Here is a 24,814-nt window from a genome sequence, read left to right as displayed (position 1 = left end):
TGATTCCAATGTGCAGACAGGGCTAAAAATTGCACTCCTCCATCCAGTCTTCTTGATCTCCTCCTTTCCTCCCACATCCATTTCCAGCCTCAAGCTCTTTCCAAACTCCAAACCTATAAATTCCCTTGCCTTCTAGACCTGCATATTCACAAGTACCTCTGATTCAAATAATCAACACTCACAGAAATGTTATCTTCTCCTGTATCTGTTCTTCCTTAATTGCTTGTTTCAATGGATAAAAATTACCACCTACTCATTGAGTTAGCAAACTTTTTCTGTAAAGAGCCACACAGTAAATGTTTGGCTCTGCAGGCCAAACAGCCTTTGTCACAATTACTCATCTCTGCTGTTGTGACAAAAAAGCAGTCATAGATATGTAGTTTCAGCATAGCTATATTCTAATAAAACCTTATTTATGAACATGTAAATGTTAATTTTATATAATTTCCACGTTACAAAATAGTATTCTTCTTTTGATATTTTTCCAACCACTCAAAGATGTAAGAAACATTTGTAGTTTGTGGGCTATGCAAAAACTGGCATTGGGTTGTAGTTTGCCAATCCAGGTCTACCCCCTTGCCAAGCTAGAAATCCTAGTTGACCCAATTACTTTCTTTCCCTTAGCCCTAGAGTCAATCATTAACTCTTTAACTGTTTATGGCCTCCCCCAGCTGAGAGTAAGCTACTTTAACTGTTTATGGCCTCCCCCAGCTGAGAGTAAGATCCTTGAGAGTGAGTGGAGGTTGCAGTGAACTATGATTTTGCTACTGCACTCCAGCCTGGGTGGCAGGGCAAGATCCCGTCTCTAAAAGAAAAATAAAAAGATCCTTGAGGGTAAGGACTGTGTCTTGATAATATCCACAGAGCCTAGCAAAGTGTCCAGTACACTGTAGGCAATCTTCCTTTAAGTCTTTCCCTTAGTTCAAAACACACAGAAATTCCACCACCATGAAAGGCCATTATATATCCTATTAATTTGAATCTTTCTTTATTCTAAGGCATCCGTTTCTTTTTAGTTTAACTTATTACTGAACCTGATAGTAAGGTTTAAAGGGAGGAAAAAACCCAGCAAATTTTAAAATGCATTAAATAAAGGCTCAGGCAGACATGGCCCACATTTCTTATTAAGCACAAGTCGTAATGATCATTGCTATTCGATTCTTTAATAACTGCTTAATTTCTGTTTTCTGGGTACTTTTTCTGCTTGGAAATTTGAGACAATCAACTTGGTCAAATCTTGGAAGATGTCAGTAAAATGGATGATTACCAATTATATATAATCAACACATCAAAAAGCAGCAGCTCAACAAGGATCAGAATAAAAACAGGTATTATATATTAAAGTATTTACTACGTGTCAGACACTGTATCAAATTGTACAATGCACATTATTTAAGGTTACCTTCAAAACAGCACAGGAAATAGATACTTCATTTTGAAGATACTACCAATGAAGAAACTATGGTACAGAGTAGTTATTAATAAATAACTTGTCCACAAACAACTGGTACATGGCAAGACTGAAACTCAAACCCAGGTGTACATGACTCCAAAATCTGCTCTTACCCACTAGCTAAACAAAGCCTATAATTCATGTATGTCAACAACCACATGAGGAAAAGAGCTTTATCCAAAAGGAGCTGAATGGAAGGTTTTAAAGCCCTGTTTGAAATGTATAACCGTCATATATTCCTAAGTATGGTGCAATGTGCACAGCCAGTGAGGCTTTCCAATCATGGTCTAACTAAATGAATACAACAAATGGGAAGAGCCAATTTGTGGATATGGCAGACCCTCCTACCCCAAAGACAGGAAATAAAACCTTGTCCACAAATCAAACAGAGTCCACAAATCAAAGAACATTACCATCCCCTACTGTTAACAGAGCCATTCATAGGAAGTCCCATGCTTACTACGGCAACCACTGGTCTTGCTGCTCACCATGTTTCTGCCTTTTTGCTTCCTCAGGAAGCAGACAGGAAAATCGCTCTCCTGATCTATTTTGTAAAGAGGAGCTGTCATTTAAAAATAGAGTTTTATAAGTGAGTATGTAGCCGGGCACAGTGGCATGTGCCTGTAATGCCCAGCTACTCCAGAGGCTAAGGCAGGATCACTTGAGCCCAACAGTCAGAGTTTAGCCTGGTCACCCTGTCTCGTTTTAAAAAAAAGAAGGAAAAGAGAATACGTACAAAGTAATTAATACTTTGCCTGACACCCAATATTTCTGTATACTAAACTCCATCTTTAAAAAACACTGTCTTTTTTTTTTTTTTTTTTTTTGAGACAGAGTCTCACTCTATCGCCCAGGCTGGAGTGCAGTGGTGCAATCTCGGCTCACTGAAACCTCTGCCACCCGGGTTCAAGTGATTCTCTTCTTCAGCCTCCAGAGTAGCTGGGATTACAGGCGCCTGCCACTCTGCCCAGCTAAGTTTTGTATTTTTAGTAGAAACGGGGTTTCACAATCTTGGCCAGGCTTGTCTTGAACTCCTGACCTCGAGATCCACCCGCCTCGGTCTCCAAAAGTGCTGGGATTACACTGCGCCCTAAAGTCTTACTTTTTTTTTTGAGATAGGTCTCACTATGTTGCCCAGGTTGGTCTAACTCCCAGGCTCAAGCAATCCTCCCACTTCAGCCTCTGGAGTAGCTGGGATTACAGGCATGTGCCACTACACCCAGCTCTATCTTTTTCTAATCTAGTAAAACAGCAATCTAGAAAATTATTAAAACTCTCCAGCTACCAAAATCTAGAAATGTTGGATAAATGCAAACATCCTTTGAAAAGCTTAGCTAAGTTCTTAAGAGAGGAGGGAAAACTACCAGTGGCAAGAAAGCAAAAAGTGAACCAAAGCTAAGGCTGGAAGTGTGAGCTGACCTCTGTATTGGGCCCAGGAGCATTTGTTAAGACTTTTGAATAACAAGGGAGGAAAGGAGACAGGAAATAGGAGAAGGGTAGGAAGGGCTCCAGAGAAATAATCTCTCATGAAATTGTGGCTCTCTTAAGGCCCAAGGTCTCAATGAAAATAGATCAGAGAAAATCTACCTCCAAGAACAAGGAGACCCTAAATAAATGGAAAGACATCTTATGTCTTTATTTATTTATTTATTTTTTCAAAAATAAAAAAGCTTTCATGTCTGTAATCCCAGCACTTTGGGAGGCCGAGGCCGGCGGATCACTTGGGGGTCAGGAGTTCGAGACCAGCCTGGCCAACATGCTGAAACCCCATCTCTACTAAAAATACAAAATTTAGTTGGGCGGATGGTGTGTGCCTGTAATCCCAGCTACTCGGGAGGCTGAGGCAGGAGAATTGCTTGAACCTGGGAGATGGAGGTTGCAGTGAGCCAAGACCACGCCACTGCACTCCAGCCTGGGCAATAGAGGGAGACTCTGTCTCAAAAAAAAAAAAAAAAGAAATAAAAAAACTGATCCTAAAATTTATATGGAATTGCAAGGGACTCCGAATGGCCAAAACAATCTTGAAAAGGAAGAACAAAGTTGGAGAACTCATACTTCCTGATTTCAAAACTTATTGCAAAGCACCGGTAACCAAAGCTGTGTGGTAATGGTATAAGGAGTGATATATAGATCAATGGAATAGTTTTAAATGAGTTCAGAAATAAATCCACAAATCTATAGTCAACTGATTTTTATTATTCTATTTTTTAGAGACAGTGTCTCACTCTGTCACCCAGGCTGGAGTGCAGTGGCACAATCAGAGCTCACTGCAGCCTTCAACACCCGAGCTCAAGCCATCTTTCTGCCTCACCCTCCCAGAAGCACACACCACCATGGCTGGCTGGTGATGAAATACTGGCCTTAAGTAATCTTTTCATCTGGGCCTTCCAAAGCTCTTGGATTATAAGCATGAGCCACCATGCCCTATGGTCAACTAATTTTTGGAAAGAGTGCTAAGACAACATTCAATGGGGAAAGAACAGGCTCTTCAACAAATGGCACTGGGACAACTGGATATTCACATGCAAAAGAATGAATCCTTACCTCATACCATATATAAAAATTAACTTGGGACTGAAAGTGGTGGCTCACGCCTGTAATCCCAGCACTTTGGGACGCCAAGGTGGGCATGGATTACTTGAGCCCAGGAGTTTAAGACCAGCCTAGGCAATAATAGTGAAACCCCATCTCTAGAAAAAATACAAAAATTAGCCAGGCATGGTGGCACAAGCCTGTGATCCCAACTACTTGGGAGGCTGAGGTGGGAGGATAGCTTGAGCCCAGGAGGTCAAGGCTGCAGTGAGCCAAGACTGCTCTACTGCACTCCAGCCTGCAGCACAGAGCAAGACCCTGTCTCAAAAAACAAAACAAAACAAAAAAATCAAAGTGGATTAAAAACTTAAAAAGCTACAACTATAAAATTATTGTTATTATTTTTTTGGAAACATAGTTTCGCTCTGTGGCCCAGGCTGGAGTGCAGTGATGCAATCTCGGCTCACTGCAACCTCTGCCTCCATGGTTCAAGTAATTTTCCTGCCTCAACTTCCCGAGTAGCTGAACAGGCACACGCCATAGGCTAATTTTTTGTATTTGAGTAGAGATGGGCACCATCTTGCTGAGGCTGATCTTGAAATCCTGAGCTCAGGCAATCCGCCTGTCTCAGCCTCTCAAAGTGCTAGGATTACAGGCATGAGCCACCGCGCTTGGTCTAAAACTATAAAATTCTTAGAAGAAAACATAGGTAAATCTTCATGACACTGAATTTGAAAATGGATTCTTAGATATGACACTAAAAATCATAAGCAACAAAACTGACAAATTGGAATTCGTCAAAATTTTGAAAGACAACCTATGGGATGCAAGAAACTATGTGTTAATCAGATATCATGTATCTGATAAGGGTCTAGTTATCAGAATAAAGAACTCTTACAATTCAGTAACAAAAAAAGACAACTTCCCCCCAATTTAAAAAATAGGCAAAGAATTTAAGAGACATTTCTCCAAAGAATATATACTAATGGCCAACAAGCACATGAAAAGATTTTCAAAAGATAGCCAAATGGTGGAAATAACCTAAATGCCCATTATTGGATGAATAGATAAACAAAATGTGGTATTATACATACAATGAACTATTATTCAGCCTTAGAAAGGAAGGAACCTGGTACAGTGGCCCACACCTCTAATCTCAGCTACTTGGGAGGCTGAGGTGGGAGGATTACTTGAGCCCAGTGAAAGTTTGAGGCTACAGCATGCTATGATGGCCTATGTGAATAGCCACTGTATTCCAGCCTGCAACACAGTGAGACCCCCAACTCTTTAAAAAAAAAAAAGAAGAAGAATGAAGTACTGATACATGCTATAAACATGGATGGAACTTGAAAACACATGCTAAGTAAAAGAAGTCAAAATGCAAAATATGTGGCGCTAAGTAAACTGCAAAAGGGACAACTATTTATAGTATGAGGACTCAAAGAAGAAGGCAGTAGACTGCCTTGCTTGGCCTCACCTAGGAATACACGTTACCCAATAGCGACTCAAATGTTTTACCCTTCTGTACGTGTTCATGAATGACCATAAAAGTGCTACGAGTACAGATTTTGGGGTTACACATAAATTTTAGCAAGTAGGTGAATTTGCAAATAAAAAAAATCTGTGACTAATGAGCATCAACCGTACTTTTTTCGTCTCCAAATAATTCAGTCTAAAAACCATTAGGTGGGGCTGAGCAAGGTTAGCATGCACATGATCTGATAAGGAAAGGAAAGACTGGGCACATTCAAGGGGATTGATCAATTAAGTAAATAGTAATATATTAAGAAAAACTGGGGCCCAGTTTCTCTGTCAGAGAAGGGAGTTACAAATACAAAAAGGAAGAAAAATAAAATGAACTCTGAGGTGTTGAGGTACTAGGTACCAGTGTGAACTCACAGTACACACACACACACACACACACACACACACACACAGAGCAAGAAATAAAAAAATGAGTCTATGTGTGTGGATGTATGTTTGTGTATGTATATACATGCATATATGCTCTAGCTCTGTCTGCTGAGAAAGTCTAGGAGCAGTGACACCTCAGTGGAACAATGCCATCTACTGTCCAGACCTAACCTCTAAATACATTCTTCAATAAAGGGAACCAGGGTACCTTGGTGAAATGATTCCAGAGGTAGGGCAGGAAAAGTATAAGAAGGGCTTTGATCATATCTGGTCCCAGAAAGAGGAAAGTGATCAAAGAATGATAGGACAATGTCAAAAGGATACAGAAGCCAGCTTGACAGGGTTTCCACTGACCAAATCTGGGACAAACTCAGCATCAAAGTACCAAAGTACACTAATAGATAACTTATTGAATAAAATATGAATCCGTAAGTCCATATTGATATAAGTTAAATAAATGGGAAGAAAACAGTTTTTCCTTTCAATGAAATGTCAATGAATGGATGTAGAAGGGATGATGAAATTAGAAAATCATCATTTGGCAGCCATCATACCAATAATCCAGCAAAAAAATTTCAATGGGTGCTAAAACTAGAAGGTGAAAGTTTGATGAGGAATGGGATACTTACATTGTCTCAAAGTACCTCCTCCTCCTCCTCATAAAATACTGATTATAAAGGAAAAAATAGTTAAATGTATGGTAGAGAAAACTGGCAGACACAATCTTAATCAAGTGACCAAGGTTAACATCAAGAAAAATGGGACACATGGAAATTATGTAGTACCTGGATGGATAAAATAAGAACACAGCACAATTTATGTGGCAATTCTGATAAAATGCATAATCTGAATCTAAAGATGAAGAAACATCAGGTCCATGTTAATGACTTCCTCAAAATAATGAGCCTGTAATCTTCAAAAGTGTCAAGGCGATCAAGTCAAAGACAGACATGACAACTAAATGCAATGTGTGATTTTAAACTGGATCCTTCACCTTTTGGGGACAACTAGAATAACTCGAATGGGGCCTGAAGATAAGCTGGTAGTACTGTACTGGTATTAAACTCCAGATTTATTTTATTTTATTTTTGGAGACAGGGTCTCACTCTGTCACCCAGGCTGGAATGCAGTGACACAATCTCAGCTCACTGCAACCTCCGCCTCCTAGGTTCAAGTGATTCTCATGCCTCAGCCTCCTGAGTAGCTGGGATTACAGGTGTGCACCACCAAGCTCGGCTCATTTTTTTGTATTTTTAGTGGAGACAGGTTTTCATCATGTTGGCCAAGCTGGTCTCAAACTCCTGACCTCAAATGATCTGCCCACCTCGTCATCCTAAAGTGCTGGGATTACAGGCGTGAGCCACCGTGCCCGGCCAAACTCCAGATTTAATGCTCATTAAAGTATTTGGGGCTGATGGGGCTCACTCTCTAATGGTTCAGGGAGCGAAAAGACTCTGTAACTATTCTTGCAATTTTTCTGTACATGTATTTATTTCAAAATAAAAAACAAAATGCAATTACGACAAAAAAAGTGCACACTAATGTCCCAGTATTATAAAAATCTAATTCTTCCTTAGTAAAATTTCTGGATAGTCAAAGTACCCCATTACCCCTACTTATTTTTACTAGCTTTTCTAATGAAAGTGTATCTCATTTTCATAGCATTCTGCAATAGAACTTTTGTGATGTTGGAAATGTTCTAAATACGTGCTGTCCAACACAGTAGCACACATGGCTAATGGCTATCATTTTGGACAGTGTAGGTCTAGAGAATAGCAGTTTGGTCACGAAAAATTAAAGAGCTTTTTCATAAAACATTAGGGTTTTTTGTCGTTGTCTGTTTTTGAGACAGGGTCTCACTCTGTCACCCAGGCTGGAGTGCAGAGGTGCGATCTCAGCTCACTTCAACCTCCACCTCCTGGACTTAAGTGATCCTCCTGCCTCAGCCTGCAAAGGAGCTGGGACTACGGGCGTGAGCCACCATGCCCAGCTAATTTTTGTATTTTTTGTAGAGACGGAGTTTCGCCACGTTGCCCAGGCTGGTCTTGAACTCCTGAGCTCAAGCAATCCACTTGCCTCGGCCTCCCAAAGTGCTAGGATAATTAATAGGCGTGAGCCACCATGCCCGGCCAAACATTAGTTTTAATACCAAACAGATTTTAACACAAATTAAATTACTTCAGTTTTTCTATACTTCTGTATATTTTCAAAATTTGTTTTTTGAGATAGGGTCTTACTCTGTCACCCAGGCTGGAGTGCAATGGTGTGATCTCGGCTCACTGTAGCCTCAACCTCCCAGGCTCAAGTGATTCTCTCACTTCAGCCTCCTGAGTAGCTGGGAATACAGACATGTGCCTCTACACCCTGCTAATTAATTTTGGTATTTTTTGTGGAGATGGGGTTTCACCAGGTTGCCCAGGCTTGTCTCGAACTCCTGGGCTCAAGTGATCTGCCCACCATGACCTCCCAAAGTACTGGGATTATAGGCCTGAGTCCCCATGCCCGGCCTTCTAATTTCTTAATCGAATCTGAATACCTACCTATTAGAAGCAACCATCTATCTTTAGTTTGAGAGCAGTCTTTTTTTTTCACTGACTTCCGTTTTAGTATACGATTTCCACTGATTGATATCCATGTCTTCTCTACTTCTTGAAATATGCTTTCCTAAAATCTAGGGGGCATGTACGTATCTACCCATACTCCCACCCTGCTCTTACATAGTTAGATCCCATAGTCACTTTCTCTCATATTTACTATTTATATTTTACTTTTATTCCCTCTCAGAGCTGCTACAGTGTATTTAATTGGTGCTACAAATTTATTTCCAGCCATGCTCAGCATAATATCCTCCTGATCAGATCAGACTATTTCAGGGCAAACACATTATTCCTTTTCCACATGAAATAAACCTATTTATTATATAATCATTCCAATATTTTAAGCCAAGAACTAAAAGTCAAAGACTAGTTTAATGACATCATCAACATAGACTAGCAGAGAAGAATGACAGCATGCTTCACATAGTTCATCAAAACAGGAATTTCAAATTCTACAACTCTTGATTTGAATACAAATGCAAAGGATTCTCATCTCTTATCATTCAGCTTAGTAACTTCAGTGAATGCAGTATCAGTGTGACTCACCTACCAGGTTCTGTTACTGTTCACTCAGAGCAAGAAAAAAATTGGTTTGTATACAACAGGCCCATGAAGTTAACACCTATGCCAAACATCATTAGAAACACTTAACAAAACTAGGAAAATCTGGAATCCTACCAAAAGCAGAACTATTTTAAGGAAGAGTTTGATCTAGAAGATTTATCCACCCCTTGCTTCTATTAATAAATATTTAAAACAACAAAAATAAAAATAAAAGCAACTAAAAATTCCTAACATCAAAATTATTTATAAGATAGCCAGGCAAAGTGGCTCATACCTGTAATACCAACATTTTGGGAAGCCGAGGCAGGAGCACTGTTTGACCCCAGGAGATTGAGACCAGCCTGGGCAACACAGTGAGACCACATCTCTACAAAAAAAAAAAAAAAAGTTAAAATAAAAAGTAGGCCGGGTGCGGTGGCTCACACCTGTGATCCCAGCACTTTGGGAGGCCAAGGCAGGTGGATCATGAGGTCCGGAGATCGAGACCATCCTGGCTAACACAGTGAAACCCCGTCTCTACTAAAAATACAAAAAATTAGCTGGACGTGTGGTGGGTGCCTGTAGTCCCAGCTACTTGGGAGGCTGAGGCAGGAGAATGGTGTGAACCCGGGAGGCGGAGCTTGCAGTGAGCCGAGATCATGTCACTGCACTCCAGCCTGGGTGACAGCGAGACTCCGTCTTAAAAAAAAAAAAAAAATTAAAAAAAACAAAAAAAAAACAAAAAAAAAACTAGCTGGGCATGATAGCACACACCTGTAGTCCCAGCCACTCCATTCCAGCCTGGGTGACAGAGCAAGATCCAGTCTAAAAAAAAAAAAAAAAAAAAAGTATATATAAAAATTATATATAATATATACTTTACTTATATATAATATACATTTTATATATTATATAATATACAAAATATATTATATATAAAATATATAATATACAAAATATATTATATATAAAATATATAATATACAAAATATATTATATATAAAATATATATTATAATATATAAAATATATAATACATATTATATATAATGCATACCCTCCACTGTGCCTTATATATATATTATATATAATATACAATACATATTATATATCATATACAATATAGTATATATATCATATATCATATATACTATACGTCATATTATATATGACGTATAGTATATATGATGTTATATATCATATATACTATACATCATATATTATATATATGTTATATATCATATATACTATACATCATATATATTATATATGATATGATATATATTATATATGATATGATATATGATAGATTATATATGATATATGATAGATTATATATATGATATATGATAGATTATATATATATCATATATTATAATATATAATTACACATATTATATATAACAATATATAACATATATATGTCATATATTATATATTATAATTAATATATTTTAATTATATTATATAATATATATTATCTTATATTATATATATTATCTAATATATATTATCTTATATTATATATATTATCTAATATATATTATATTATCTTATAATATATATTATATATTATGTAATATATAATATATAATTTATATATAAGTGAAACGGAAAAATTATATGAAATTCAAACTTCTGCATCCATAAATAAGAAAGAATGTAGCTGCACTCATTCATTTACTATTGTCTGTGGCTGGCTTCAGACAATCTTTTGTAGTTTTCGTTTGTTTTGTTTTGGTTTTTTTTGGAGATGGAGTCTCACTCTCATCCAGGCTGGAGTGCAGTGGCATGATCTTGGCTCACTGCAACCTCCGCCTCCTGGGTTGAAGCAATTCTCCTGCCTCAGCCTCCCGAGTAGCTGGGATTATAGGTGTGAGCCACCACACCAACTAATTTCTGTATTTTTAGTAGAGACGTGGTTTCGCCATGTTGGCCCAGCTGGTCTCAAACTCCTGACCTCAGCCTCAGCCTCCCAAAGTGCTGGGATTTACAAGCATGAGCCACCGCACCAGGCCTGTTTTGTTTTGTTTTGTTTTTTGAGACAGGATTTCGCTCCATCACTCAGGCTAGAGTGCAGTGGTGCAATCACAGCTAACTGCAACCTCGACCTCCCAGACTCAAGGGATCTTCCCTCTCAATCTTTTGAAGGTTAAATAATGTACATTATACAGTCTGACACAGTGCCTTACACATAACTACTTAATAAATGGTACTTACATGTTATTATTCTGATCCTTGTTGAACTGCTTTTTGATGTGTTCTGGTTATCCATAATTGGTAATCAGCCACTGTACTGACTGGCAGAGTGGAGTGGCTTATATAGCTTTCCACTGCTGCTCAGTATCCCACAAATCACAGTCACAAAGTTATAACTCAACAGCATGTTTGGTGCCACACATGCATATTGTCATACTGTGACATTTTATTTTTTATTAATGCATAACTGTTATCAGTAACTAAAAGTCGTTATTATTTTGACATTTTATTAGTACATAACTATCATTAGTTATTAGTGCATAACCATCATGTCGAAACAAAAACAAATGCACTTTGAATGTCATGTTTTTCATTTTTTTTAATTTTGTATTTTTTTAAAACTAGAGATGGACTCTCACTATGTTGCCAAGGCTGGTCTTGAACTCCTGGGCTCAAGCAATCCTCCCACCCTGGCCTCCAAAAGTGCTGGGATTACAAGTGTGAGCCACCACACCCAGCCTGAATGTCATGCTTTTAAGGCACAGTGGAGGGTATGCATTATTTTATCAAGACAAGATAGGGAAGCATTTTGTTTATTATGCAATGACTCTACGGTCATCCCTTGGTATCTGTGGATCAACCGTGGATACCAAAATCTATGCACACTCAAGTCCCACAGTGGCCCAGAGGATACAAAAATTTCACTGTTCTGTATCTGGGGGTTTCCTCAAATAACGTATTTTTGATCCACGTTTGGTTGTATATGTATAAACTGCTGATTGTATTTATTGAAAAAAAATTCTCATATAATTGGACCTGTGCAGTTTGAAACTGCGTTGTTCAAGGAGTCAACTGTCTGTCTGTGCTAAAAGAATTCAAAATACATCAATGTTACCAAACTAAGGACCGATCACAGTATTTCCGATTCACAGGAAAGCAATGGTCAGAAAAATTTGAAAATTTAAAGTGGAATATTTCATTACAGCAAGGAGGGAAGGTAAGGAATAGAAAGTTTGTAAAGGAGGGAAGTTTCTAAGTAGCTCATTTGTTAGCAAAGCAAGAAAAGTAATATTCTAGTGATAAGTGAATTAAATCATGAAGAAGCTGAAGAAATGTATCCAGAGAAAATAAACTTGTTTAAGAGTATTAATTAGCCTTTCTCTAGGCTTTCTCCAGACAGGTAACAAAAAAATTATTTTTTAAATTTAATATAAGATAATTTAAAAAGAAAAAAAGACTATTAGCCTTTCAACAAAATCATTTGCTCTAAAAGTCGAAAATATTAGGAGCAAGATCAATAATCTGTTTAAAAAAAAAACCAAGGCAATTGAGGTTAAGTAGATTTCCATCTCTTTTGAATGAGTTTGATAGATGTTACAACACTGTTCAGATGTTTATTCAAGGAGTCAGTGCCAAGTTTAAAACAACTGAAGAATTAGCTTCTATGAATAGTCTGTGTTGAACAACTACAAACAAGAAGGTGAAAAAGTACTAATTCCATATAACCTAAAGTGGAATCTCAGATACGTTATCATTGATAATGGTAAAAATATGTGTGAAGCAGAAAAAGGCTTAGTTGGGTGATTTATAAAACGTGAAAATGTAAGGTGGTTATTCATGTTTTTTATCAATAGATATTCTATGAAAAATATCTGAATTTATCATGAATTATTAAACCAACCATGTTAATGGTGAATTTCATTCACTGCCATGGGCTTAACCATTGTCAGAAACAGAAGCTGAATAACCTGACTTGCCCAGGCACACAGCAGTTTGACGGCTGAGCTGTACTAAAGTTTTATCATGCTTTTTTTTTTTTCTTTTCAGCTTGGAACTGAGATTGAAATTTTTCACAACAATAAGACTGCTTTCAGACACTATGATCAAACAATAAATGGCTTTGAGAATTAGCTTTTGCTAATTTTATAATAGTAAATTCAACTTAAAATTACAGGACAGAACAACACTTATATATGAAACTTAAACTGTTGTTATTTAGACAACTAACTTTTGAATCATAAGCAACGTTGAGCTGCTTTATACACTTTACATGCTATCAAAAGTTAAAACAAGAAGTGAGATCTCCATTCCCAAACAAATTTGCAGTGGATATAGTTTCTTAGCTCACACTACATTTCCAGAATAATTTTTAGGACCTTAATGCACAAGGAAATATCTATATTTCAGTATCTATTTAACAGTGCAATTGTGGAGCTTCTGTCTAACCTTCCATTGGAAGTAATTAAGCAGCAATGAATAATATACTAAAAGGTAAATGTTATAAGAAAAACCTAATTCTATAAATGCTTCCTGAGTTATTAATATGCTCAATTAAAATCATATGTTTATGGGCTGGTATCAATTATTTGACATGTATGTGTGAAGACATGTCAAAGATGAAATATATAAAACCTCATTACAGACCTGCATTAATAGATAAATACTTGCAATCAATTTTGATGATTATTTATTGAATAGGAAGCACTAACTCTGAACTCCAATTAAGAAAATGTTATCACTCCGAAAAGAACTCCATTCTTCTCATTAGTATACCTGTATTTCAATAAATTGTGTTTATTATTTTGAATTTAATCAATTAAGAAATTTCTCAAAATTTGTTTTCTCTCTTGTTATATCAGAACGTACGTATTACCCTTGATTCTACTTCAGCCTGCAAAATCTAAAATATTTACTATCTGGCCCTTTATAGGAGGATCAGATAATTACTTCTTTGGAGAAAGGTTTTCTTCAGCCGAAGCATATAAAAGCTTGTCCTCTATCTCCTTCTGGGATTGGTAAAAACTTATCTAACACAAATAGGACTCAGGGCTGACTGGTTACATGAAAAAGTACAGTATATCAGGTAATTTTAAAAATGTAACTGAAATATTTGATTTTTACTCAAAACAAATACATGTCACCTGCCAATATTACGGTAAAAAACCAAGGCCTCTTCTTTAAGTACATTTCTACTAATTAATGTTTCAAATGTTCTCTCTTGCATATTCATTACAAATATATCATATCCATAACCCATCATATCCATAATCCACATTTGTGATTTCAAATTTCAGTTTCTTTAAATGGAACAAGAATCTAGGCAACTGTAAGACAACTGAGTATAGATCGTTTAAGAATTTTACGAGGTCAGGTGTGGTGGCTCACACCTGTAATACCAGCACTTTGGGAGGCCGAGGCGGGTGGATCACCTGAGGTCAGGAGTTCGAGACCAGCCTGACCAACATGGAGAAACTATGTCTCTACTAAAAATACAAAAAAGTAGCCAGGTGTGGTGGCGCATGCCTGTAATCCCAGCTATTCGGCAGGCTGAGACAGGAGAATCATTTGAACCCAGGAGGCAGAGGTTGTGGTGAGCTGAGACCACACCATTGCACTCTAGCCTGGGAAACAAGAGCAAAAAAAAAAAAAAAAAAAAAAAAGAATTTTATGATTTCCACCCCCAATCTTTCAAAATATTCACGCCCACAATTAGTAAGACAGTAATTTGGTGAAAAGGGGAAAAGGGGATTTGTATTTATCCAATTTGTTCAAGATCTACAACTTAATTTTCCTAAAAACAACTACTTTTTGCAGTCATATTTCATTAGTTAATGTTTAATTAAATTATAAAATTACAGTACTAAATGTAACTGGCATAAGCAGATTTGGAACAAACATACTGACCCCTGGAAGTGTAAAATTCAACTAGTGAGAGACGAAGGCAAGATGTGCTAGAGAGCAGCCAACCAGCCATGAGTGTTCAACTTTTCTTAGGAAACATTCAGTATATTCTAGAGGAAGAATAGAGTGTGGTTATTTCTGTAATTTGATTATATATACTCTATTATCAGCGGTCTCCAATCTTTTTGGCACCCAGGGACCAGTTTTGTGGAAGACAATTTTTCTATGAAATGGAGGGGTGGAGGATATGGTTTCAGATTTTGGGATGAAGCTGCAACACCTCAGATCATCAGGCATTAGATTCTCATAAGGAGCACACAACCTAGATCCCTGGAGTGTACAGTTCGCAGTAGGGTTTGTGCTCCTATGAAAATCTAATGCTGCTGCTGATCTGACAGGAGGCAGAGCTCAGGTGTAATGTTCCCTGGCCTAAAGTTCATATCCTGCTGTGTGGCCCAGTTCCTAACAGGATGGTCTGTGGCCTGGAGGTTGGGTATCCCTGCTCTATATAATTTGGTGATTATTTGAATATAGTCTAAATTAGAAATCTTTACGTATTTTTCCCCAAACAGCCCACTGTTACAGGATCATTCTTAGTAATCGATCATTTTCTCCCTGATTTCTGAATGCCACTTTCAACATATTCCTTTTTTCTTTCTTTTTTCATTTCACTCCTTCCTACACACTGACACTTTCATATTCTAAATTCCTATATATATTCAGGTCTGTTTCTGGACTATTTTTCTCTAGTTATTTGCCTATTCTTTTTTTTTTTTTTTTTTTGAGACGGAGTCTTGCTCTCTAGCCAGGCTAGAATGCAGTGGTGTGATCTCGGCTCACTGCAACTCTGCCTCCTGGGTTCAAGTGATTCTTCCAGCTCAGCCTCCCGAGTAGCTGGGACCGCAGGCATCCGCTACCATGCCCGGCTAATTTTTTGTATTTTAGTAGAGACGGAGTTTCACCATGTTGGCCAGGATGGTCTCGATCTCCTGACCTCACGATCCGCCCACCTCGGCCTCCCAAAGTGCTGGGATTATAGGCATGAGCCACCGCGCCTGGCCAGCATTTTATATCTTTAAAAAAATCCTTCAGTAAAGCTTCATAGTTTTCTTCAAATTAGTCTTGCCTATTTCTCGTTAATTTGCACTCTCTCTTCTCTATTTGTGCATCATTTAAAAATTTTAAAAATTCTGCTAGTGTAGCACTTAACATGAATTTAATTTTGTAAGAATACATAGACTGGGCGCCATGGCTCATAACTGTAATCCCAGCACTTTATAAGGCCAAAGCAAGATCACTTGAGCCCAGGAGTTCAAGACCAGCCGGGGCATCATAGAAAGACCCTATCTCCACACACACAAAAAAATAAATAAAAATTGGCTGGGCATGGTGGCACGCGTCTGTGGTCCTAGCTACTCAAGAGAGACTGAGGCGGGAGGACTGCTGGAGCCCAGGAGATTGAAGTTGCAGTGAGCCATGATTGCGCCACTGCCCGCCAGCCTGGGTGGGTAAAAGATCCAGTCTCAAAAAAAAAAAAGTTATGGAAACCCACCAAGCAAATCCTTAAAAGGGATAGAAAAACAGATGGCTTATTCATCTGGAGTAGGGAGGAGCTTCCTAAATCTGCCATCTCTTATAAACCTAAAACAAACATGCCTTCCTTCCTTTAAAAATATTTCACAAATAAGTTCCGTAAAAACCTCCTCTGAATTTATTTAATATTCAGCCTTTACAATCCCATCAATAATTCTTTCTTTTTTTTAAGTTGGGGTCTCACTCTATTGCCCAAGCTGGAGTGTAGTGGCATTATCATGGCTCACCACAGCCTCAAATTCCTGGGCTCAAGCGATCCTCCTGCTTCAGCCTCCTGAGTAGCAAGGGCTACAGGCATATAACCACCGCGCCCAACTAATTTGTGAATTTTTTTGCAGAGTCAGAGTCTTGCTATGTTGCCCAGGCTGGTCTTGAACTCCTAGCCTTAAGCAATCCCCCACCTTAGCCTCCCAAAGCACTATGATTACAGGCATCAGCCACTACACCCAGCCAATAATTCTATTTCTTATATATAAATGGAATAGCCAACATTTGCTAAGTGTTCCCTATAAGCTAGGCACATTACACAACTTTGCTCACTTACTCCACATCACAACCCCATGAAACAGACATTATTTACAGGTTGAGTATCCCTTATCCAAAATGCTTGGAACCAGACGTGGTTTGGATTTCAGGTTTTTAAAGATGTTGGAATATTTGCATTACACTTACTTACCAATTGAGCATTCTTAACCCAAAAATCCGAAATCCAAATGCTCCATGGAATAAGCATTTCCTTTGAGCAGTCATGTAGGCATTCAAAAAGTTTCAGATTTTGGAGCATTTCAGATTTCAGATTAGGAACACTCAAACTGCACTATCTCCCATTTTGCAGATGAAGAAACTGAGGCACAGAGAGGTTAAGTAACTGGCACAAGGTTACGTACCCAAAAAGTAGCAGAGATGGGATTTGAACCCAGGCAGCCCAGCTTCAAAATCCATGAAATATTATGGAGTCATAATATTTCATATTTTCATTTCATTAGTGGGTTGGCTTTAACGGGCCAGTTGAAAAACCTTCATTGTGCTCATTATAAAACTCAGCATATCTACAATTCAACATTTTGAACGCTTAAAAACAAAAAATAAAACCCTCAAATTAGTAAAATTCTCAAATTAAAATCTAATCTTCAATATTCTAAAAAAGAAACAAACCAATTGTTCTATATTTTATAGGTCCTGTTTAAATTAGACACAAACCTTGGGTTAAATCACTCACTTAACTGAATCATTTAAATCTATTCAACAATGTTCCCAAGCCTCCTCTAGGATGACCTGGAATCACTTGGCATCAATCTTTCCAATATGTGTTATTAAAGAATCTCATGCTTTTAAAAGAAAGAATCAGACCAGTGCCGGCAGCTGCCAAGAATGAGTTTACTGCCTAGTTTCCATGACTGCATCAATCTGGGACCAGCATAAGAGAGAAGACATATCCCTGGAAACCAACTTTTTGCTCCCCTCAATTAAGAAAGGGAGTAGGGAAAAAAGAAAGAAAGCAAGCTTCAGAATAATTTGATTTGTGTTGAATGTGCCCATTGCACATGATAACCACAGGTGAAAGTTGTGCAATCAAAATTGTGGTAAAGTTATGAGGTGCTTAGTGTTTACCAAGAATATCTTATGATCTGTATAAAATATTTTGGTTTCAATCTTTAAAAAAATCACAATTGGCCAGGCGCAGTGGCTCACACCTGTAATCCCTGCACTTTGGGAGGCCGAGGGAAGTGCATCACCTGAGGTCAGGAGCTCGAGACCAGCCTGACCAACATGGTGAAACCCCATCTCTACTAAAAATATAAAAATTAGCCAGTGTGGTAATGCTCACCTGTAGTCCCAGGTTCTCGGGAGGCTGAGGCAGGAGAATCACTTGAACCTGGGAGGCAGAGGTTGCAGTGAGCTAAGACTGCGCCACTGCACTCTAGCCTGGGTGACAGAGCGAGACTCTGTATCCAAAAAAAAAAAAGAAAAAATCACAATAAAAGCTACACCAACAAGAACTTTATGAATAAAATATCTAAATGGGGACGATATTTATACTGCTAGTCAGTATCTTTACTGTTCAATTGCATGCTAACACCTGAATTCTCCACATACATCCTGTATGCTCTAGAAGTACTCTTTGTTTTAGGTATTGTATATTGTAAAATTTCAAAACGGAAGATTTTTCCAAATTAGGGAGCAGAGTCAATATACTTACAATAATACATATAACATATATAACATAAGTAACAATATAACATAAGTAACAGGTTCATTCATCTCAGCTGCATTTCTAAGGCAAGAACTTACAATAAAGTACAAATGAGTTTTAACAACATATATTAAATACAATCTCCCAGGTTTTCTTAAACCAGCAGTCGTACTACCCCTCCTTCCCTGGAGCTATAAATATACTTCCTGCCATCAATAGCAATGGCTGAAGCAACCTCTCTGTTCAAAGGAACTAAAAATACATTATTGTACATATCCTCCCTTCAGCTACCCACCCACCATTACAAGAGGAACTGACAGAGGGAAATGTAAAAGCTGTGTAAAGTTCAGCTGAGAGCAGTGCAGACTGTAATTCTCCTCAAGGGAAAAAAAAAGGCTGGGTGCGGTGGCTCATGCCTGTAATCCCAGCAATTTGGGAGGCCGAAGCAGGTGGATCACAAGGTCAGGAGTTCGAGGCCAGTCTGGCCAAGATGGTGAAACCCTGTCTCTACCAAAAATACAAAAATTAGCGAGGTGTGGTGTCGCGCGCCTGTAATCCCAGCTACTCTGGAGGCTGAGGCAGGAGAATCACTTGAACCAGGAGGCAGAGGTCACAGTGAGCCGAGATCGCGCCACTGCACTCTAGCCTGGGCAACAGAGCAAGACTCCATCTCAAAACAAAACAAAACAAAAAAAACAAAATTAGGCTAGCTCCAACTGAATGATGTCTAGGGAGGGAACAATCAACTATTTCAGGGTCAGGGTAAATTTTTAAAATTTTGGAGAAGCTATTTTTTTTTTTTTTTGAGATGGAGTTTCGCTCTTGTTGCTCAGGCTGGAGTGCAATGGCTTGATCTTGGGTCACTGCAACCTATGCCTCCTGAGTTCAAGCAATTCTCCTGCCTCAGCCTCCAAAGTAGCTGGGATTACAGGCACCTGCCACCACGCCCAGCTAATTTTTTGTATTTTTAGTAGAGATGGGGTTTCACCATGTTGGTCAGGCTGGTCTCGAACTCCTGACCTCAGGTGATCCACCCGCCCCGGCCTCCCAAAGTGCTGGGATTACAGGCATGAGCCACCACGCCCACCTGAGAAGCTTTTCTTGATCACAGGTTATATTTTGTATTTCATTAACTGCTATTTGAGGACTGGCATTATTTAATTAAACCACAGCAATGGAAATTTATGAATATCAAAACCAAGCAAACTGAGTACTACCTGTATGTAACAATGGCTCATGGAACTTGAAGGAGTGATCAGCCAGCTCATTCAGTGGGGCTGGGGGCAAGAAAATGGCCTACATAGTCAGGAGATTGTCACCAACAGGAAGGTGAGTAAAAAGGACAATGTGAGAGCCAAGCACAGTGGCACGTGCCTGTATGGTCCCAGATACTCAGGAGTCTGAGGCGAGAGGATGGCTTGAGGCAACAGTGAGCTATAATCGTGTCACTGCGCTACCGCCTGGGTGACAGGGCAAGACCCCATCTAAAGAATTAATGAATGAATGAAAAAAAAAAAGGAGGCAGATTTTTCGTTTTGTTTTGTTTTGTTTTTGAGATGGAGTCTCACTCTGTCGCCCAGGCTAGAGTGCAGTGGCGCTATCTCAGCTCACTGCAGCCCCCACCTCCTGGGTTCAAACGATTCTCCTGCCTCAGCCTCCCGAGTAGCTGAGATTACAGGCGACCACTACTACAACACCTGGCTAACTTTTGTACTTTTAGTAGAGATGGGGTTTCATCATGTTGGCCAGGCTGGTCTCGAGCAACTGACCTTAAGTGATCTACCTGCCTTGGCCTCCCAAAGTGCTGGGATTACAGGCAAGAGCCACTGTGCCTGGCCTCAGATTTTTCAATGTCAGAAAAGGGAAACACCAGAAGAAACCCTATTGTGTTGGACTAGAATTAAGAGTATTGGAATGAAACCATGGCTTTCATTATTTACAGGAAGATACAGATGTATATATGTATGTATAGACATGCATACATACCTATATAATCATTCTTGATATTCTGTAATTGATGATTTGGCATCTTGAAAGGATGGGCCAAATTAACGACCAAAGTTGTTTACATTCATACCATCTCTGTGTTTTTGAGGCTACACAAAAATCATATTACAAACCGTCCAACCACAAATCTCAACATTTGTGTTTCTCTTTCTGCTCAATAGGGGATGTCCCACCTAACAACTTTCTAGCACTTTAACAAAAAAAAAACTCACCCATCCTTTCCTCTGGTTCCTTCTGCCTCCTGACCCACCCTGGTGCTTCCCCATGTGGTCCTGCATAGTATGGTGCGCCTGCTGTTTCAGAAGAACTGTGAGTAACACATTTTCAATAATATTGGCCTCTCTGTGTCATTCATACCTATAAATTAAATTCCAGTATATTTTATTTATTTGTTTATTTTTTTAAGTCAGGGTCTCACTCTATCTCACTCTAGCTAGGACTATAGGTGCGTGTCACCACGCCTGGCTACTTTTTGTGTTTTTTGGTAGAGATGGGGTTTCATCATGTTGGCCAAGCTGGTCTCGAACTCCTGATCTCAAGTGATCTGCCAGCCTTGCCTGCCTCAGCCTACCAAAGTGCTGGGATTACCTGGTACATTTTAAAACAATATTCTAGTTCTCTCCTCACATAGAGCCTAAAAGGAAGAACACCCCAATAGAAAGAACATATCTAGTAGTGCACATATTTTATTTTCTAAGTACATTCACTAATAAAAGGAACCAGGGTTCCCTGATAAAATTATTGATTCCACGACTGAGATAACAAAAGTAAAGATGAGCCCAGAAATTTTTTTTTTTTGAGACGGAGTCTCGCCCTGTCATCCAGGCTGGAGTGCAGTGGCGCAATCTCAGCTCACTGCAACCTCCGCCTCCCGGGTTCAAGCAATTCTCCTGCCTCAGCCTCCCTAGCAGCTGGGACTACAGGTGTGTGCCACTATGCCCGGCTAATTTTTATATTTTTAGTAGAGACAAGGTTTCACTATGTTGGCCAGGCTGGTCTCGAACTCCAGACCTCAGGTGACCCACCAGCCTCGGCCTCCCAGAGTGCTAGGATTATAGGCGTGAGCCACCTCGCCCAGCCCACAGAAAATCTTATTATTCCAAAAAGTAAGAAAAAAAGTGATCAAAGAATGATGGGGACATGACCAGGCGTGGTGGCTCATGCCTATAATCTCAGCACTTTGGGAAGCCAAGGCGGGCGGATCACCTGAGGTCAGGAGTTCGAGACCAGCCTGACCAACATGGTGAAATCCTGTCTCCACTAAAAATAGAAAAATTGCCAGGCGCGGTGGCTCACGCCTGTAATCCCAGCACTTTGGGAGGCCGAGGTGGGCGGATCACAAGGTCAGGAGATCGAGACCATCCTGGCTAACACAGTGAAACCCCGTCTCTACTAAAAATACAAAAAAATTAGCCGGGCATGGTGGCGCATGCCTGGAGGCTGAGACAGGAGAATGGCGTGAACCCGAGAGGCGGAGCTTGCAGTGAGCCGAGATCGCGCCACTGCACTCCAGCCTGGGCGACGGAGCAAGACTCCGTCTCAAAAAATAAAAAAAATAAAAACAAAAATAGAAAAATTAGCCAGGTGTGGTGGCAGGTGCCTACAATCCCAGCTACTTGGGTGGCTGAGGCAGGAGGATCGCTTGAACCTGGGAGGTGGAGGTTGCAGTGAACAAAGAGCACGCCATTGCACCCCAGCCTGGGCAACAAGAGCAAAACTCTGTCTCAAAAAAAAAAAAAAAAAAAAAAAGAATGATGAGGACATGGAAAAAGGACACAGGAGCCAGCCTGAAAGGGTTCCCACTGGCCAAATTTGGGACAATTTGAATATCAAAAAATACATGAAAAAGGAACAAAATAAGAATCAATGAGGCTGTGCTCATATGTTTAAAAGATTTTTAAACAAACAAAAACAAAGACAAAAACCAGAGAGAGAAAGCTTTTCCTTAGAGTGAAATAGCAAGTGATTGGCTGGGCACGGTGGCTCAAGCCTGTGATCCCAGCACTTTGGGAGGCCAAGGTGGGCAGATCATCTGAGGTCAAGAGTTCAAGACCAGCCTAGCCAACATGGTGAAACCCCATCTCAACTAAAAATACAAAAATTAGTAGGGCATGATGGCGGGTGCCTGTAACCCCAGCTACTTGGGAGGGTGAGGTGGCAGAATCACGTGAACCTGGGAGGCAGAGGTTGCAGTGAGACGAGATCACGCCATTGCACTCCAGCCTGGGTGACAAAGCGAGACTCCGTCTCAAAAAAAAAAAAAAAAAAAAAGAAATGCCAAGTGATGAATTCAGAAGAAATAATGAAATTTTTTAAATTTACCATCTAGCAACCACTATAATAACTGATTCAGGCACAAATCACCAATGGATGGTAAAACTAGCAAGCAAAAATTTGATGAGAAATAAGCTATTTATATAGTCTCAAAGCATCACCCCACAAAATGCATTATTACTTACTAACCAGTAAGTATGAAATACCTCTAAACTAATTTTACAAAAACTTGCCAGCCAACATCTTAACCAAGTGGTAAAATTAAACATAACCAGTAATTGGACAAATTGACATGAACCTCTTGATACGATGCAGTGAGAAGAACATAATATCGTGTCTTTGGTATTCCTGCCACAAATGCATAACCTAAATCTATTCAAAAGGAAACATCAGACTAACCCAAATTGTGGGACTTGCTACAAAATAATTCTCTACTCTTCAAAAATATTAGGATCACTGAAAATAAGGAAAGACTGAGAACTATTCTAGATTAAAAGAGACTGAACAGACATGACAACTAAACGCAAGGCATAATCCTGAATGGTCCCTGAATCAGAAATAAGTGAAGGGGAAAGGGAAGTTTTTCTGCTTTTGTTTTCTTGAGGGAATTTTGTTGGTTTCTGTTGTTTTGTTTTTGCTATAAAAGACATAATTGGAAGATCAGTGAAATTTGAGTAGGGTCTGTGAATCAGATGGCAGTATTATATCAATATTTATTTCCTGATTTTATAGGAGAGTATCCTTGTTTTCAGGAAACACACCCTGATTTATGGGTAATACAGCATTATGTTTGCAACTTATTTCTCAAATGATTCAGAAAAATTACATAGATGGGTGAAGTGAGAAAGAGAAGACGCAATTGTACAACATTAACAACCTGTGGAATCTGGGTAAACTAGGCCAAATGGCAAATAAATACCAACAATTTCCAAAGGACTGAAAGTGCATGTAGGCCGTATTCTTTGCGTGTGTGTGTTTTCGTTTGTTTTTTGTTTTTGTTTTTGAGACGGAGTCTCCCTCTGTTGCACAGGCTGGATTGCAGTGGCACTATCTCGGCTCACTGCAACCTCCACCTCCCGGGTTCAAGCGATTCTCCTGCCTCAGCCTCCCTAGTAGCTGGGATTACAGGCACCCACCACCATGCCCGGCTAAATTTTTTTTGTATTTTTAGTAGAGACAGGGTTTCACCATGTTGGCCAGGCTGGTCTTGAACTCATGACCTCAAGTGATCCCCCTGCCTCAGCCTCCCAAAGTGCTGGGATTACAGGTGTGAGCCACCGTGCCCAGCCTATAGACCATATTCTTTAACCACAATGTATAATCTATAAATCCGTTACAAAAAGATAACTAGAAAAAACCTATTTGAAAATAAGAGACACTTATAAATACATACAGATCAAAGAAAAAAACAGAATGAAAATCAGAAAATAGCCTGATCTCTTATTGAAAAAACTGAACCAAAATATCGGTAATTTGACTCCATCAACACATAACATAAAAAAGACATTGTACATCATGATCAAGTTGTGCTGAACATTAAAAATTGGTTAATAAGCCGGGTGCGGTAGCTCACACCTGTAATCCCAGCACTTTGGAAGGCCAAGGCAGGTGGATCACTTGAGGCAGGAGTTCGAGAACAGCCTGGCCAAGATGGGGAAACCCCATCTCCACTAAAACTTCAAAAATTAGCCAGACTAATTCCAGGTGTTTGGTGGTGCACATCTGTAATCCCAGCTACTTGGGAGGCTGAGGCACGAGAATTGCTTGAACGCAGGAGGCTAAGTTTGCAGTGAGCCAGGATCGTGCCATTGCACTCCAGCCTGGGTGA

At 39.2% G+C, this 24,814-nt stretch overlaps 1 protein-coding gene across 28 annotated transcripts in view; it reads right to left on the bottom strand.

Moving 5' to 3' along the window:
- Positions 1 to 24,814, bottom strand: part of PTPRA (protein tyrosine phosphatase receptor type A) — a 174,486-nt gene that overhangs the window by 118,302 nt on the left and 31,370 nt on the right. For 3 of the 28 annotated variants that reach the window (NM_001385306.1, NM_001385320.1, NM_001385302.1), the window contains exon 2: positions 9,335 to 9,427. The exons of the other annotated variants lie outside the window; for them this stretch is intronic. The gene's annotated coding sequence lies outside the window, so the exon portion shown is untranslated. The remainder of the gene's footprint in view (positions 1 to 9,334; positions 9,428 to 24,814) is intronic. 28 annotated transcript variants of the gene reach the window in all.

The sequence above is a fragment of the Homo sapiens genome, chromosome 20, assembly GCF_000001405.40.
Source record: "Homo sapiens chromosome 20, GRCh38.p14 Primary Assembly".
NCBI lineage: Eukaryota > Metazoa > Chordata > Mammalia > Primates > Hominidae > Homo > Homo sapiens.
Note: the sequence above shows the minus strand (reverse complement) of the source record. Positions and strands in the feature narration are given on the sequence as shown.